Here is a 19070-nt window from a genome sequence, read left to right on the forward strand (position 1 = left end):
TTAGGATTCTTTCTGGGGAGAGGGCTAGTTCTGCACAGTGGCTGCATAAAATACCTTCTTTTGTACAGTGAGATGTATGATAGGGAACCAAATGGTTGTATAATACACTGTTCCAAGTCCTTGATAGTGTTTGTGGCTGCAGCCTTAGCTCAAGATGACATATGTGTTAAGCTTACTTGAATCCTCTGGGGGGGCTACAAATAGTAATCCTATATAGTTCACTGGCCCATATGCTCAGACTTCTGTGCCCAGGAGATTTTCCCAAATGGTGTTTTTAAATGGCTATTTTTGGGTTAGCATTCATTGGTCTCTTGTCGTATTAGTGGCTTAGGTAAGGAACAGGTGGAATATATAATTATTTCACACATTCTTGCATGGCTTTGGAAATTGCCAAGGTGACTACTTCTAGGGAATGGCAGGTGATCATCTTCACATTTTCTTCATCTTCAGAATCAATTTGATTTTTATCTTGGGCATCTGTTTGACCCACTATCATCCTTCCTTGGAAATCCCGTAGGGCCTTCCACAGTCAAATCCCCTGCACTGGGGTATTCTTAATGTTAACTTACCAAGATTCTCAGACTCCTGGGTATGGTGGCTCATACCTGTAATCCTGGCTACTTGAGAGGCTGAGGTGGGAGGAGTGCTCAAGCCCAGGAGTTCAGGGTTGTAGTGAGTTATGATTGTGCCACTGTACTCCACTCTGGGTGACAGAGAAAGACAACATTTCTTAAAAAAAAAAACAAACAGGAAGGTTCCAAGATGGCCGAATAGGAACAGCTCCAGTCTGCAGCTCCCAGCGTGAGTGACACAGAAGATGGGTGATTTCTGCATTTCCAACTGAGGTACCAGGTTCATCTCACTGGGGAGTGTCAGACAGTGGGTGCAGGACAGTGGGTGCAGCCCAAGGAGGGTGAGCCAAAGCAGAACGGGTCATCGCCTCACCCGGGAAGCACAAGGGGTTGGGGAATTCCCTTTCCTAGCCAAGAGAAGCCGTGACAGATGGTACCTGGAAAATCGGGTCACTCCCACCCTAACACTGCACTTTTCCAATGTTCTTAGCAAATGGCACACCAGGAGATTATATCCCGCACATGGCTCAGAGGGTCCCATGCCCACTGAGCCTCACTCACTGCTAGCACAGCGGTCTAAGATCGAACTGCAAGGCCCCAGCGAGGCTGGGGGAGGGGCATCCACAATTGCTGAGGCTTGAGTAGGTAAACAAAGCAGCCAGGAAACTCAAACTGGGTGGAGCCCACCCAGCTCAAGGAGGCCTGCGTGCCCCTGTGGACTCCACCTCTAGGGGCAGGGCATACCTGAGGAAAAGGCAGCAGAAACTTCTGCAGACTTAAATGTCCCTGTCTGACAGCTTTGAAGAGAGTAGTGGTTCTCCCAGCATGGAGTTTGAGATTTGAGAACAGACAGACTGCCTCCTCAAGTGGGTCCCTGACCCCCAAGTAGCGTAACTGGGAGGAACCTCCCAGTAGGGGCTGACTCATACCTCATATGGCCGGGTGCCCCTCTGAGATGAAGCTTCCAGAAGAAGAATCAGGCAGCAACATTTGCTGTTCTGCAATATTTGCTGTTCTGCAGCCTCTGCTGGTGATACTGAGGCGAACAGGGTCTGCAGTGGACCTCTAGCAAACTCCAACAGACCTGCAGCTGAGGGTCCTGACTGTTAGAAGGAAAACTAACAAACGGAAATGACATCCATACCAAAACTCCATCTGTACATCACCATCATCAAAGACTAAAAGTAGATAAAACCACAAACATGGGGAGAAACCAGAGCAGAAAAGCTGAAAATTCTAAAAAATCAGAGTGCTTCTTCTCCTCCAAAGGAACGCACCTCCTCACCAGCAACAGAACAAAGCTGCATGGAGAATGACTTTGATGAGTTGAGAGAAGAAGGCTTCAGACGATCGGTAATAACAAACTTCTCCGAGCTAAAGGAGGATGTTCAAACCCATCACAAAGAAGCTAAAAACCTTGAAAAAAGATTAGACAAATGGCTAACTAGAATAAACAGTGTAGAGAAGTCCTTAAATGACTGGATGGAGCTGAAAACCATGGCATGAGAACTACATAATGCATGCACAAGCTTTAGTAGCCGATACGATCAAGTGGAAGAAAGGGTATCAGTGATTGAAGATCAAATGAATGAAATGCAGCGAGAAGAGAAGTGTAGAGAAAAAAGAATAAAAAGAAATGAACAAAGCCTCCAAGAAATACGGGACTATGTGAAAAGACCAAATCTATGTCTGATTGGTGTACCTGAAAGTGACAGGGAGAATGGAACCAAGTTGGAAAATACTCTTCAGGATATTATCCAGGAGAATTTCCCCAATCTAGCAAGGCAGGCCAACATTCAAATTCAGGAAATAGAGAGAATGCCACAAAGATACTCCGTGAGAAGAGCAACTCCAAGACACATAATTGTCAGATTCACCAAAGTGGAAATGAAGGAAAAAATGTTAAGGGAAGCCAGAGAGAAAGGTCGGGTTGCCCACAAAGGGAAGCCCATCAGACTAACAGTGGATCTCTCCGCAGAAACTCTACAAGCCAGAAGAGAGTGGGGGCCAATACTCAACATTCGTAAAGAAAAGAATTTTCAACCCAGAATTTCACACCCGACCAAACTAAGCTTCATAAGTGAAGGAGAAATAAAATCCTTTACAGACATGCAAATGCTGAGAGATTTTGTCACCACCAGGCCAGCCTTACATGGCTCCTGAAGGGAGCACTAAACGTGGAAAGGAATAACCAGTACCAGCCACTGCAAAAACATGCCAAATTGTAAAGACTATCAATGCTAGGAAGAAACCGCATCAACTAACAAGCAAAATAACCAGCTAACATCATAATGACAGGATCAAATTCACACATAACAATATTAACCTTAAATGTAAATGGGCTAAATGCTCCAATTAAAAGACACAGACTGGAAAATTGGATAAAGAGTCAAGACCCATCAGTGTGCTGTATTCAGGAGACCCATCTCACGTGCAGAGACACACATAGGCTCCAAATAAAGGGATGGAGGAAGATCTACCAAGCAAATGGAAAACAAAAAAAAGCAGTGGTTGCCATCCTAGTCTGTGATAAAACAGACTTTGAACCAACAAAGATCAAAAGAGACAAAGAAGGCCATTACATAATGGTAAAGGGATCAATTCAACAAGAAGAACTAACTATCCTAAATATATATGCACCCAATACAGGAGCACCCAGATTCATAAAGTAAGTCCTTAGAGACCTATAAAGAGACTTAGACTCCCACACAATAATAATGGGAGACTTTAAAACCCCACTGTCAACATTAGACAGAGCAACGAGACAGAAAGTTAACAAGGATATCCAGGAATTGAACTCAGCTCTGCACCAAGCAGACCTAACAGACATCTATAGAACTCTCCACCCCAAATCAACAGAATATACATTCTTCTCAGCACCACATCGCACTTATTCCAAAATTGACCACATAGTTGGGAGTAAAGCACTCCTCAGCAAATGTAAAAGAACAGAAATTATAACAAACTGTCTCTCAGACCACAGTGCAATCAAAAACTAGAACTCAGGATTAAGAAACTCACTCAAAACTGCTCAACTACATGGAATCTGAACAACCTGCTCCTGAATGACTACTGGGTACATAACAAAATGAAGGCAGAAATAAAGATGTTCTTTGAAAGCAATAAGAACAAAGACACAACATACAGAATCTCTGGGACACATTTAAAGCAGTGTGTAGAGGGAAATTTATAGCACTAAATGTGCACAAGAGAAAGCAGGAAAGATCTAAAATTGACACCCTACCATCACAATTAAAAGACCTGGAGAAGCAAGAGCAAACACATTCAAAAGCTAGCAGAAGGCAAGAAATAACTAAGATCAGAGCAGAACTAAAGAAGATAGAGACACAAAAAACCCTTCAAAAAAGATCAGTGAATCCAGGAGCTGGTTTTTTGAAAAGATCAACCAAACTGATAGCCTGCTAGCAACACTAATAAAGAAGAAAAGAGAGAAGAATCAAATAGACGTCATAAAAAATGATAAAGGGAATATCACCACTGATCCCACAGAAATACAAACTACCATCAGAGAATACTATAAACACCTCTATGCAAATAAAATAGAAAACCTAGAAGAAATGGATAAATTCCTCAACACATACACCCTCCTAAGACTAAACCAGGAAGAAGTTGAATCCCTGAATACACCAAAAACAGGCTCTAAAATTGAGGCAATAATTAATAGCCTACCAACCAAAAAAAAGCCCAGGACCACATGGATTCATAGCTGAATTCTACCAGAGGTACAAAGAGGAGCTGGTACCATTCCTTCTGAAACTATTCCAATCAATAGAAAAAGAGGGAATCCTCCCTAACTCATTTTATGAGGCCAGCATCATCCTGATACCAAAGCCTGGCAGAGACACAACAAAGAGACAGAATTTTAGACTAATATCCCTGATGAACATGGATGCAAAAATCCTCAATAAAATACTGGCAAACTGAATCCAGCAGCACATCAAAGAGCTTATCCACCACGATCAAGTTGGCTTCATCCCTGGGATGCAAGGCTGGTTCAACATATGCAAATCAATAAACGTAATCCATCATATAAACTGAACCAAAGACAAAAACCACATGATTATCTCAATAGATGCAGAAAAGGCCTTTGACAAAATTCAACAGTCCTTCATACTAAAAACTCTCAATAAACTAGGTATTGATGGGACATATCTCAAAATAATAAGAGTTATTTATGACAGACCCACAGCCAGTATCATACTGAATGGGCAAAAACTGGAAGCATTCCCTTTGAAAACTGGCACAAGACAGGGATGCCCTCTCTCACCACTCCTATTCAACATAGTGTTGGAAGTTCTGGCCAGGGCAATCAGGCAGGAGAAGGAAATAAAGGGTATTCAATTAGGAAAAGAGACAGCCAAATTGTCCCTGTTTGCAGATGACATGATTGTATATCTAGAAAACCCCATCGTCTCAGCCCAAAATCTCCTTAAGCTGATAAGCAAATTCAGCAAAGTCTCAGGATACAAAATCAATGTGCAAAAATCACAAGCATTCCTATACACCAATAACAGACAAACAGAGAGCCAAATCATGAATGAACTCCCATTCACAATTGCTTCAAAGTGAATAAAATACCTAGGAATCCAACTTACAAGGGATGTGAAGGACCTCTTCAAGGAGAACTACAAACCACTGCTCAAGGAAATAAAAGAGGATACAAACAAATGGAAGAACATTCCATGCTCATGGATAGGAAGAATCAATATCTTGAAAATGGCCATACTGCCCAAGGTAATTTATAGATTCAATGCCATCCCCATCAAGCTACCAATGACTTTCTTCACAGAATTGGAAAAAACGACTTTAAAGTTCATATGGAACCGAAAAAGAGCCTGCATTGTCAAGTCAATCCTAAGGCAAAAGAACAAAGCTGGAGGCATCACGCTACCTGACTTCAAACTATACTACAAGGCTACAGTAACCAAAACAGCATGGTACTGGTACCAACACACAGATATAGATCAATGGACCAGAACAGAGCCCTCAGAAATAATACCACGCATCCACAACCATCTGATCTTTGACAAACCTGACAAAAACAAGAAATGGGGAAAGGATTCCCTATTTAATAAATGGTGCTGGGAAAACTGGCTAGCCATATGTAGAAAGCTGAAACCGGATCCCTTCCTTACACCTTATACAAAAATTAATTCAAGATGGATTAAAGGCTTAAATATTAGTCATAAAACCATAAAAACCCTAGAAGAAAACCTAGGCAATACCATTCAGGACATAGGCATGGGCAAGGACTTCATGTCTAAAACACCAAAAGCAATGGCAACAAAAGCCAAAATTGACAAATGGGATCTAATTAAACTAAAGAGCTTCTGCACAGTAAAAGAAACTACCATCAGAGTGAACAGGCCACCTACAGAATGGGAGAAAATTTTTACAATCTACCCATCTGACAAAGGGCTAATGTCCAGAATCTATAAAGAACTTCAACAAATTTACAAGAAAAAAATCAAACAACTCCATCAAAAAGTGGGCGAAGGATATGAACAGACATTTCTCAAAAGGAGACATTTATGCAGCCAAAAGACACATGAAAAAATGCTCATCATCACTGGCCATCAGAGAAATGCAAATCAAAACCACAATGAGATACCATCTCACACCAGTTAGAATGGCGATCATTAAAAAGTCAGGAAACAACAGGTGCTGGAGAGGATGTAGAGAAATAGGAATGCTTTTACACTGTTGGTGGGACTTTTGACCCAGCCATCCCATTACTGGGTATATACCCAAAGGATTATAAATCATGCTGCTGTAAAGACACATGCACACGTATGTTTATTGCAGCACTATTCACAATAGCAAAGACTTGGAAGCAACCCAAATGTCCATCAATGATAGACTGGATTAAGAAAATGTGGCACATATACACCATGGAATACTATGCAGCCATAAAAAAGGATGACATGGACGAAGCTGGAAACCATCATTCTGAGCAAACTATCGCAAGGTCAGAAAACCAAACACCGCATGTTCTCACTCACAGGTGGGAATTGAACAATGAGAACACTTGGACACAGGATGGGGAACATCACACACCGGGGCCTGTCATGGAGTTGGGGGAGTGGGGAGGGATAGCATTAGGAGATATACCTAATGTAAATGACGAGTTAAAGGCTGCAGCACAGCGACATGGCACATGTATACATATGTAACAAACCGGCACGTCGTGCACATGTACCTTAGAACTTAAAGTATAATGAAAAAAATCAAATTCCTGACCACATAGCTAGACTATTGGTTACTATCTGACTCTGTAAATATCCAAACATTGCCCTGAGGTAAACAACTAAGTGGTTCTTCCTCCACTGTCATGAACATTGCTCTCAGCCCATTGCCTGAACTTACCTTGTGTTATTTGACTGAGTTTTTACTGGGCATAGGCAAATAATAGCAGACTTTTATATTGGCATTCCTGCTATACAGGAACTCTCATGGACAAACCGAGAAACTCGTTCTATTTGGTGGAGAGTCATGAGGTTTAGATCATTCAGCAACAGAAGGGGTCTCCTAATTAGTTAGTTCTAAAGCAAGGATGCCACCTGCTCACATATGAATTATAACTCCCCAGAGACACCTCTCCTGACATGAATCCTTTTGAAAATTGTGTTGTGCAGCTTCCTCTTTATTACAACCTAATTTTTATATCACTTGTGATATAACAGTTAGTTCAAGTCTTAATATAATTTGATGCTCTTAAGTTATGGGGACTGATTTCAGTGGAGTCCAGTAGCATGCCAGCAAGTGGGCTCTCTAGCCCCATTATCAGGAACTTCTTGAGTTAAAAAAAATCTCAGTGGCTGCCACAAGGTGGTTTGCATGTACTGTATTCCAGTGTCAGAAACTTCTAAAATCATGTGTGAATGTGCTAGAATCCTAAGGTCCCAGTAGCATACTTGGGCCACTGCCCATTACAAATTTTCACAGCTCGTCAAACAGTCCCTCAAGATATTGTGTCTTCTTTCTATTGGCAGGGTCCTAAAGGGAACATAATACTGTTTGTGGAATATCTCTGGTGGCCCAAAGTTATTTTTAGAAATTTTATGGACTGGGCTAAAGTCTGAATCTCAGCTAGATTGATTAACCATCCCACTAGTCTTATTTGCCACTGTAGCCCTCAACTCTCCTTGAGTTTTTTCCTCAAAGCAGGAAATCCTCACAGTGTCAATATAATGAATTAACTTCATTTTGATGATGATAATGATGATAATCTCACCAAATTGTAGCAGTGAGTTGGAGCAGTTGGTTATCCTTGGGGAAGGACCCTAAAGATATATTACATTCCTTCTCATGTAACAGCAAACTGTGCTTGACTTCTCTGAGTGAGATCAAAAGGATAGCATTAGCCTAATCTAGCACAAAAAAAAGTCAAATTTATCTTGCTGGACCTCTTGTACAGCTTGTGCAATGCCTAGCACAACAGACACTTGTTTAAATCATGGAAACTACCTTATTTAAAACATGATAGTTAACTGTTCTTTCCAAAGCCTGTTCTTTTTCTCCTGGGCCACATAGGATTAATAGAAAGCATTAGTGGGGATTAGCACTCTCCCTCCCATTGTTTCTTAATGAAAGATAAGATTTCTTGTGTCCTTCCAGAATCTGACACTGCCTGATTATTTACTACAAAGGAGGGTCTGTGCGAGTCTCAAGGCTTCTATATTGCCTGACTAATTAAAACCAAGTGGAGGGCAGACTTCTCTACCTTTTAAAGACATTTTGCTTGGCTTTAAGCTGGTAAGGACAAGACCTTTCATCACATCCATTCTCATTACATATTCAGGTGTAGACCAAAAACAAAATTCTAAGCACCTGCAACCAACTGAATGGACCCCCTCCTCTTGGTCAAGGGGATGTCAAAGAAACCTGAAAAACTAGTTAAGCTCATGATGGGAAGTGGGGAGTCAAACATCCCTCATTATACTCTCCTCCTTTGGAATTCAGGCACAACTGATCAGCATTAATATTAAAACAGAGATCTTAAGACTGAAAAAGCAGACTCTTTGTAGCAGTACGATACCAAATTCCAACCTTACTCTAGTATAGCATCACACAACAGATATAGCAGGCCCTGGAAGTATCAAAGTATTTTACCCCAAAATATTTTGAGATGTCCCTGCAAAGCTGTTTCTTATGGACAAATTTGCATTCTGTAGAGAATCTCCTTCCCTTTCCAGGTGTTTTTGTGATCCTAAAGAGATTAGCTGAGAGTCTAGCACCTTTTAAATGTCTAAATAGAAAAAACATTTGCCATCTATTGCCTCTAAGGGCGGCCACCTATGAGATTTCATCTACATAATAAGAACCTTGGTCTCCACAATCCCTTATCTTAACCCAGACACTCCTTTCTGTTGATTCCAGGTCTTTAGATAATAACTCAACTCTTTCAAGCAATTATCAATCAGAAAATCTTTGAATCTACCCATGACCTATAAACCCCTCCCCACCAGAACTTCAAATTCTCCCACATTTCTGGACCAAGCCAATATATACCTGACATGTATTGACTGATGCCTTATGTCTCCCTAGAATGTATAAAATCAAGTTGTAACCCAGTGGCCTTGGGTACATGTTCTCAGACCTCTGGGGGTATGTCACAGGTGATGGTCCTCACATGTGGCTCAGAGTAAATGTCTTAAAATATTTTACTGAGTTTGGCTTTCCATCAACACAGGTAAAGGCAGGAATTTGATTTTTGTTTTTTATTTCTTCATCTGTAGCTTCACAGTGATTCTGGTGTTATCTACTGTAATATTTCGATATGCTCCAAACTTCCATTTTCATACCTTAATATTGTCTTTTTATTCCCCTGCTATTATGGTACATTTTGCACCATCATTATGGTACATCCAATAATTCCAAAAAAGGTTTCCACTATCATCTGCCACTCAACATTAACTTATATTATACAACCTTGGACCCCCCGCCAGGGGTCATATGAGGATTTCTTCTCTCTCAAGTTTTTCTTTTTCTTTTTCTTTTTTTTTTTTTTCAGACAGGGTTTCATTCTGTTGCCCAGGCTAGAGTGCAGTGGTGCCGTCATGGATCACTGTAGCCTTGACTTCCCAGGCTCAAGTGATCCCACCTTAGCCTCCTGAGTAGCTGGGGCTACAGGTGCGCACCACCACACCTGAATAATTTTTTCTATTTTTTGTAGAGAAGAGGTCTCACTAGGCTGGTCATGAACTCCTGAGCTCTAGTGATCTTCCTACCTCAGCCTCCCAAAGTGCTGGGATTATAGATATGTGCCACTGTGCCCATCCTTCCCTCATTATTTATCCTTTTACCCACAACCTTAATAGACAAGTTAAAATCATTACCCTGTGCTAAACACACTGTATTTTCCTATTTTTTTCATCATTGCTGCCTTTAAACTCCTCCAGGCTGGGATAACTGGAACAGATCTGATAGGGTAGCTTAGGTGAGCTGGATGCAGGAGCTAGAGTAGGTTTCCCTTCTGTAAGCTATTGTTAATGTGCTGTCAAACCCTTTGTAGGGATCCCGTCAATTTCTTCCTTCTCTATTTTCTCCCTTCACTTGCCCTTCAAAAAATTTTTAAAGATCATTCTACCTCATTAAATGTTTATTTCTCTTATTCTGGTCAGTATCTTCACCCCAGCCCATTAGCTTTCTTCTGAACAGCTTAAACTTTCTTTTTATTGATAAAACCCATTATCGGTAGCTGTGAGAACAAATCTGCCTTGGCATTCTGTATATTCGAATCCTTGTTTTCTCACTAAAAGTATCATACTGGGAACCTATGCATGAGGGATTCCCCCTAATCACAATTTCTGCAATAGTTTGGGGCAGAGGCATATTATTCAGGGAAGCTCAACACTAATCATCATAAAACCAAGCAGGGTTGCCACTGCCCTTTATATTTTTAATGCTTCCACAGAAGCAACAGTTTCACTGTTAACAAAATGGATATAAAGTTTTCCTTTTCAGTATAAATTAAATATCAATGCCCCTTTTCACACACTCCCAAAGGGGCATTGATATTTAATTTGGGTCTTCTGTGGATCAAATACTGTACACTGTGACAAGTTGATGATTAGTAGTCATACTAGACCAATATCCTTGATGAACATTGATGCAAAAATCCTCAATAAAATACTGGCAAACCGAATCCAGCAACACATCAAAAAGCTTATCCACCATGATCAAGTGGGCTTCATCCCTGGGATGCAAGGCTGGTTCAATATACGCAAATCAATAAATGTAATCCAGCATATAAACAGAACCAAAGACAAAAACCACATGATTATCTCAATAGATGCAGAAAAGGCCTTTGACAAAATTCAACAACCCTTCATGCTAAAAACTCTCAATAAATTAGGTATTGATAGGATGTAACTCGAAATAATAAGCTATCTATGACAAACTCACAGCCAATATTATACTGAATGGGCAAAAACTGGAAGCATTCCCTTTGAAAACTGGCACAAGACAGGGATGCCCTCTCTCACCACTCCTATTCAACATAGTGTTGGAAGTTCTGGCCAGGGCAATCAGGCAGGAGAAGGAAATAAAGGGTATTCAATTAGGAAAAGAGACAGCCAAATTGTCCCTGTTTGCAGATGACATGATTGTATATCTAGAAAACCCCATTGTCTCAGCCCAAAATCTCCTTAAGCTGATAAGCAACTTCAGCAAAGTCTCAGGATACAAGATCAATGTGCAAAAATCACAAGCATTCCTATACACCAATAACAGACAAACAGAGAGCCAAATCATGAATGAACTCCCATTCACAATTGCTTCAAAGTGAATAAAATACCTAGGAATCCAACTTACAAGGGATGTGAAGGACCTCTTCAAGGAGAACTACAAACCACTGCTCAAGGAAATAAAAGAGGATACAAACAAATGGAAGAACATTCCATGCTCATGGGTAGGAAGAATCAATATCTTGAAAATGGCCATACTGCCCAAGGTAATTTATAGATTCAATGCCATCCCCATCAAGCTACCAATGACTTTCTTCACAGAATTGGAAAAAACGACTTTAAAGTTCATATGGAACCGAAAAAGAGCCCGCATTGTCAAGTCAATCCTAAGCCAAAAGAACAAAGCTGGAGGCATCATGCTACCTAACTTCAAACTATACTACAAGGCTACAGTAACCAAAACAGCATGGTACTGGTACCAAAACAGAGATATAGACCAATGGAACAGAACAGAGCCCTCAGAAATAATACCACACATCTACAACCATCTGATCTTTGACAAACCTGACAAAAACAAAAAATGGGGAAAGGATTCCCTATTTAATAAATGGTGCTGGGAAAACTAGCTAGCCATATGTAGAAAGCTGAAACCGGATCCCTTCCTTACACCTCATACAAAAATTAATTGACGATGGATTAAAGACTTAAATGTTAGACCTAAAACCATAAAAACCCTAGAAGAAAACCTAGGCAATACCATTCAGGACATAGGCATGGGCAAGGACTTCATGTCTAAAACACCAAAAGCAATGGCAACCAAAACCAAAATTGACAAATGGGATCTAATTAAACTAAAGAGCTTCTGCACAGCAAAAGAAACTACCATCAGAGTGAACAGGCAACCTACAGAATGGGAGAAAATTTTCACAACCTACTCATCTGACAAAGGGCTAATATCCAGAATCTACAATGAACTCAAACAAATTTACAAGAAAAAAAACAAACAACCCCATCAAAAAGTGGGCGAAGGGTATGAACAGACATTTCTCAAAAGAAGACATTTATGCAGCCAAAAAACACATGAAAAAATGCTCATCATCACTGGCCATCAGAGAAATGCAAATCAAAACCACAATGAGATACCGTCTCACACCAGTTAGAATGGCGATCATTAAAAAGTCAGGAAACCACAGGTGCTGGAGAGGATGTAGAGAAATAGGAATACTTTTACACTGTTGGTGGGACTGCAAACTAGTTCAACCATTGTGGAAGTCGGTGTCGCGATTCCTCAGGGATCTAGAACTAGAAATACCATTTGACTCAGCCATCCCATTACTGGGTATATACCCAAAGGATTATAAATCATGCTGCTATAAAGACACATGCACACATATGTTTATTGTGGCATTATTCACAATGGCAAAGACTTGGAACCAACCCAAATGTCCAATAATGATAGACTAGATTAAGAAAATGTGGCACTGTAGCCTTGTAGTATAGTTTGAAGTCAGGTAGTGTGATGCCTCCAGCTTTGTTCTTTTGGCTTAGGATTGACTTGGCGATGCGGGCTCTTTTTTGGTTCCATATGAACTTTAAAGTAGTTTTTTCCAATTCTGTGAAGAAAGTCATTGGTAGCTTGATGGGGATGGCATTGAATCTGTAAATTACCTTGGGCAGTATGGCCATTTTCACGATATTGATTCTTCCTACCCATGAGCATGGAATGTTCTTCCATTTGTTTGTATCCTCTTTTATTTCCTTGAGCAGTGGTTTGTAGTTCTCCTTGAAGAGGTCCTTCACATCCCTTGTAAGTTGGATTCCTAGGTATTTTATTCTCTTTGAAGCAATTGTGAGTGGGAGTTCACTCATGATTTGGCTCTCTGTTTGTCTGTTGTTGGTGTATAAGAATGCTTGTAACCAAAACAGCATGGTACTGGTACCAAAACAGAGATATAGATCAATGGAACAGAACAGAGCCCTCAGAAATAACACCGCATATCTACAACTATCTGATCTTTGACAAACCCGAGAAAAACAAGCAATGGGGAAAGGATTCCCTATTTAATAAATGGTGCTGGGAAAACTGGCTAGACATATGTAGAAAGCCGAAACTGGATCCCTTCCTTACACCTTATAAAAAATCAAGTCAAGATGGATTAAAGACTTAAACGTTAGACCTAAAACCATAAAAATCCTAGAAGAAAACCTAGGCATTACCATTCAGGACATAGGCATGGGCAAGGGCTTCATGTCTAAAACACCAAAAGCAATGGCAACCAAAGCCAAAATTGACAAATGGGATCTAATTAAACTAAAGAGCTTCTGCACAGCAAAAGAAACTACCATCAGAGTGAACAGGCAACCTACAAAATGGGAGAAAATTTTCACAACCTACTCATCTGACAAAGGGCTAATATCCAGAATCTACAATGAACTCAAACAAATTTACAAGAAAAAAACAACCCCATCAAAAAGTGGGCGAAGGACATGAACAGACACTTCTCAAAAGAAGACATTTATGCAGCCAAAAAACACATGAAAAAATGCTCACCATCACTGGCCATCAGAGAAATGCAAATCAAAACCACAATGAGATACCATCTCACACCAATTAGAATGGCAATCATTAAAAAGTCAGGAAACAACAGGTGCTGGAGAGGATGTGGAGAAATTGGGAACACTTTTACACTGTTGATGGGACTGTAAACTAGTTCAAACATTGTGGAGGTCAGTGTAGCGATTCCTCAGGGATCTAGAACTAGAAATACCATTTGACCCAGCCATCCCATTACTGGGTATATACCCAAAGGACAATAAATCATGCTGCTATAAAGACACATGCACATGTATGTTTATTGCGGCATTATTCACAATAGCAAAGACTTGGAACCAACCCAAATGTCCAACAATGATAGACTGGATTAAGAAAATGTGGCACATATACACCATGGAATACTATGCAGCCATAAAAAATCATGAGTTCATGTCCTTTGTAGGGACATGGATGAAGCTGGAAGCCATCATTCTCAGCAAACTATCGCAAGGACAAAAAACCAAACACCGCATGTTCTCACTCATAGGTGGGAATTGAACAATGAGAACACATGGACACAGGAAGGGGAACATCACACACCGGGGACAGGAAGGGGGAAGGGGGAGGGATAGCATTAGGAGATATACCTAATGCTAAATGACATGTTAATGGGTGCAGCACACCAACATGGCACATGTATGCATATGTAACAAACCTGCACGTTGTGCACATGTACCCTAAAACTTAAAGTATAATAACAAAAAACAGTCATACCAAAGAACTCTTTCCAATAAGCAGTTTCTAAAATCAACAGTTCCATGGCTGTTTAGTCTGAGAATCCAAGAAAGCAGAGATTCCTCAGTACTACTAAAAAATATAACCAAATTTCCTTCCTCTATTGCCTTTGGTTTGTATGTAGGTGTATCTGATAAGGCCACGTAGATGCACACAGGTTGAGAGACCTAGGGACCTAGATGGAGAAGGTCCCACTTTCTCCATGAAACCAGAATCTTAATCTTAGGATATAATTAACCTTTAGCTAGCCACAAGAAAGAAGAAAACCAAAGAGAATAAGAAATAGAGATGGACAATCTTTCCTGAGAAACAGGATTTGTTTAATGTATCTGCCAGTTACATGCAAGTGAATTAGTGGAAAAGGGAAGAGGCAAAAGGTATGCATAAGAAGTTTTAATGTACAGTGACCCTGCTTATAATAAATGCAGCTTAATCAATTTCTCTGGTTCTGACAAAACATATCAGCATTCTCTTCTCTTGGGGAAAGACATAAATGGAAGTGGGCAAACAGGCAGCAGGGAAACAAGGAGGAGAGAGTTCCTCTACTGCACTGCCTACACTTAGTATAGCACTTTGAAAAGGCAAAAGGATTACATATAGAATTATCTCACCTTCTACTATGTAAAAGTTTGTGTAATAATGGAGATCCTCCTGAAATAGAAGTTAGTTTACAGGTCAATTTGCCAAATCGGCTGTGCACTTTGCCTTTCTAAATCTTTTAATCTATAATTTTAAAAATTACATTAGATGATAGTTATAAGTTCTCTTTAAGATTTAAGATTCTGTGATTTTACTATTGTAGTGTCTATCCAGACTTCATTACCAAGTTCATTGTTGGTATGGGACAGGGATGACGGCTTATGCACCCTGCACATGGCTAGTGTTCTACAATTAGTCCATTTTTTAAACGCTGGTTGAGATGTGGGAAAGTATGTATCACTTGCTTCAATTCAAGGAGTTGGAAGGAATATACATATATACACTTGCATATAATATTTTTGGAATTAGAAACAAGAAAGTAATACTGGTTGCTTCTGAGCAAGGTGACGGAGGTATCAGGAGTTTTGGGTGGATGGGGAAATTTGTTTTCAGTATCAGTTGTCCTTTGTATTTATATTCTACTCTCCCCCTTGCTCTTTCTCCTCCAGCCACCCCGGCCTTCTTGCTCTTCCTCCAACATTTCAAAAACCCTCCCAATTCAAGGTCTTTGCACTTGTCATTCTGGTGCCTGGATCACTCTCCCTCCAGATACTCCCACAGTAAACTCCCTTACTTCGTTCAATGAGGCCAAAATGCCACGTTAATAATGAGACTTCCTTGACCACACTGTATGCAATGACTTCCCCCACAGACTCCCCATTACCCCTTAGCTAACAACCCCTATACCCTTAACATTTAGTAGCATCTGACATATTAAATATTTGGCTGTTTGTTTCGTGTTTGACTGCCTTTTGGAACACTGCCTGTGCTAACAATCAACAAATACTTGTTGAATTAAGAAACTTACTGCTTGAGGTTTTTAAAAAGTAATCACGAAATTACTTTTTCAACAAAAACAACCAGTTAGGGAATAAACATTTGATAAATTAACTTTTAGACCTATAGTATTATAGGATAAAGTCCAAACTTCGTTTCTCAACACATGGACTTTCCTCATCTGCCACGTATTGGCCACAGTCAAGTAGCCGGTTCCCTTTTCTCGTGCATAAAGTGGAGTTATTCATAATTACTTCACAGAATTAAGATTCAATGCAGATGAAAGCGCTTTTGTAACTAAGGCACTATAAGTTACCGTAAGCACAGGGTTTCTTCCGCGCTTGGAGCCTAGGAATAGTACAAGGTGTCAACCCGCGCTAAGGACCTGAGGTTCAAGGAGGGAAAAGTCTCCAGCGCAGCGCTAGGAGGCGCTACTCCGGCGCGGGGCGGGGCTCCTGGCCGCCGTTGCCAGGGAAACCGTCTGGGCGTCCCTAGTATCTGAGCCCTCGCGCCTGGGCCACTCAGCTCGACCTCTCTCCAGCGTTAGCAATAGGTGGAGCGCGGGCCAATCGGAAGAGGCCGGAGGGGCGGGGCGGGCAGTGGCCCTGGGAAGGCGGGTCCGCGGCCTCGCTCCCTGACTTCCGGGTCGCGGTGCTTGAAGGGAGTGTTCCGTCGTTTCCGTTGCCGGCTGTTTGCAGTGGGGAAACCGAGGCAGCTCCTGCTCCCCCTAGTTCTTCCGCTCCTGTGAGGTGGCTGCTGTTTCTTTTCCTCTTGCCCCGGATGCCTCGGTGCGGCTGCACTGAGAGCGCGCGGGCTCGCGAGCCCCGCGGGGTTCTGCGGGAACCCGGGGGCGCCTGGGCCGGCGGGTCTTTGTGCGAGCCCTGCCCTCCCATTCGCGGGCGGCGCGCGAGGGGGGTCGGCGCAGAGACGCCCAGAGCCCTGGGGTGCTCAGGCGCCGCTACGCGTGCATCCCCTCTGCTCGGCAGTTCTGCGCTTTTGTCCTAATGAGCGCGGACTAGATGGCTTGATTTTCAAGATAATGATCAACCCAGCTGTGCTATGCGCTCTTTCTGCACTGACCTGCGGGTACTTCGAACTTCGACAGTCCCTCCTCAGGCCCTAGTCCAGAGGTGACGTGTCTGTGGGAATGTTTAAGGCAGGAAGGAGACGAGCAATTTTGTTTTTAAGTATCTCCCTCTCACTAGTATCTCCCTGACTTTTTCATTTAGAAGCTGAAGAATTTTCTTATGGCATAAGATATAGTTGTATCGAGTGTGTACTTAGCAAAACAAAAACTTGTTAGTATTTCTGCCCTTGACCTATTGAATGGAAAATCAAGAATGAGCTAAGGTGTTATATACTCAGTGTTCAACTTGTATACTTAAGTTTGTAGTGTTTTTATTTGCTGGCATCACCTGACTGGGACAGTTGTAACGAATTATCCACATGGGATAAGAAGAGTGTATTCTATAAAAACAACTCTGATGTTTTGGTATATATTTTAATTGTTGATTAGTTGGAGTCCTCTTGATCTTGAACTGTTGAGCCCCAGTTCTCAAAGAATGGGAAGTTAGGAAACTAAGATATGAAATACAATTATTTAGCAAAAAGTGCAAACCATTCTGTTACTCTTTCAAGCCATTGAATAGTTTGAGTACATTGTTTGAATTTTAGTTTTGAAAAAGTGATTAATTGGCCATTTGATCATCAATTAATAGCGGTATATATTACACCTGCCATTGTTTTTAAATGCCTAATTAAACTGTCAAAACAGACACAATGAAATGATAGATACATAATTTGAGATTTGATCAGTTGTATAAACTTTTTAAATTTTAAAATTCAGTTTAAGGTCATTAAGCTTGTCTTGTATGTTTCCCTCCTCCAGGAAAAAAAAATGTTTATTTCTTTGTGGGAGTTCTTCTATGGGCACTTTTTTCGATTTTGGATGAAATGGCTATTACGACAGATGACTGGGAAGTGTGAATTGCAGCGAATATTTGATACCTATGTAGGTGCACAAAGGACACACAGGATAGGTAATGTTATTCAAAAAGAAAAAGTACTAATAAAAGTTTAACGGAGTGTTTTTCTCAGGACTCACAGTGACAGATGTATTTCTTTTGTATCCTGACAAGTCACTTAAACTGAATTTCATAAGCTCTGAAGTCCCGCTTTGACTCCTTCAGCTCTAAAATTGTATGAATTTATAGAAAAAGTGGTTATTTAATTGCTTATGTGTGGAAAGAATTCTCTGGCTCCTGAAGTTTATCGGTTATTCCTTAGATTATAGTTGCAACCTATTTTCTGGTGAAAAATTTCTATACTTACATAATCCCTTTGAAATTTTCACTCACATGGTGGGAAGAATGAGTGCCTCAGTCTACATCCATTTTTATACTTAGGATCCTTCATCAGTCTTTTACTTTCTTACTGTTACTTATGAAAGGCCTGTAATTATGTATCCAGTGGTCTCTAGGAAAGATTATTAGACTCATTCTCACTGTCCAATACCATAGCCAATAGCCACATTATATTGAGCATTTGAAATGTGGCTAGTCTAAATTGAGATGTGCTGTAAGTGTAAAATATAAACTGTATTTCAAAGACTTATAAGAAAATGTAAAAAGTCCCAGTAATTGTTTATATTCTTTGTATGTTGAAATGGTAATATTTTGGATATGTTGGGTTAAAAATATATTAAAATGTTATCTGTTTCTTTTTACTTTAATGTGGCTATACAGAATTTTAAAGTACACAAATGGGTCACATTTTGGCTTGTGTTATATTTCTGTTGAACAGTGTTGCTCTGTTACCTTCTAAAATACATCAGTTTTCAGTGCTTCATTGAAAATTTTACTCTAAAATTTGAACACAGATGAGTAAGAACTGTGTTTTGAAGTCGCTTCTTTTCAGCCAGGGTAAGGAAGAGCAGAGAAGTGCTCTAGCTCATGCTCTCTGTGTTAAACGGAAAATTGTGAATTA

At 40.6% G+C, this 19070-nt stretch overlaps 1 protein-coding gene across 7 annotated transcripts in view, besides 2 other annotated features; it reads left to right on the forward strand.

Moving 5' to 3' along the window:
• Positions 16424-16773: a silencer, noted in NCBI's record as "silent region_15710". NCBI's record gives its function as "represses an Ori minimal core promoter by ATAC-STARR-seq in GM12878 lymphoblastoid cells {active_cell/tissue: GM12878}" and the evidence as "EXISTENCE:reporter gene assay evidence [ECO:0000049][PMID:35858748]".
• The window catches only part of ELMOD2 (ELMO domain containing 2), a 29603-nt gene continuing 27254 nt past the window's right edge, over positions 16722-19070 (forward strand). For 4 of the 7 annotated variants that reach the window (XR_001741193.2, XM_005262885.4, XM_011531818.3 and 1 more), the window contains exons 1-2: positions 16722-17171; positions 17974-18124. Coding sequence is in view for 6 of the 7 variants with exons in the window: in XM_005262885.4 (XP_005262942.1) it covers positions 17145-17171; positions 17974-18124 (178 nt within the window). In the remaining variant the exon portion in view is untranslated. The remainder of the gene's footprint in view (positions 17172-17973; positions 18125-19070) is intronic. The other 3 variants (XM_011531819.3, XM_047449980.1, NM_153702.4) reach the window with 2 other exon arrangements.
• Positions 16964-17083: a silencer, noted in NCBI's record as "silent region_15711". NCBI's record gives its function as "represses an Ori minimal core promoter by ATAC-STARR-seq in GM12878 lymphoblastoid cells {active_cell/tissue: GM12878}" and the evidence as "EXISTENCE:reporter gene assay evidence [ECO:0000049][PMID:35858748]".

Source organism: Homo sapiens, chromosome 4 (assembly GCF_000001405.40).
Source record: "Homo sapiens chromosome 4, GRCh38.p14 Primary Assembly".
In the NCBI taxonomy this organism is placed as follows: Eukaryota; Metazoa; Chordata; class Mammalia; order Primates; family Hominidae; genus Homo; species Homo sapiens.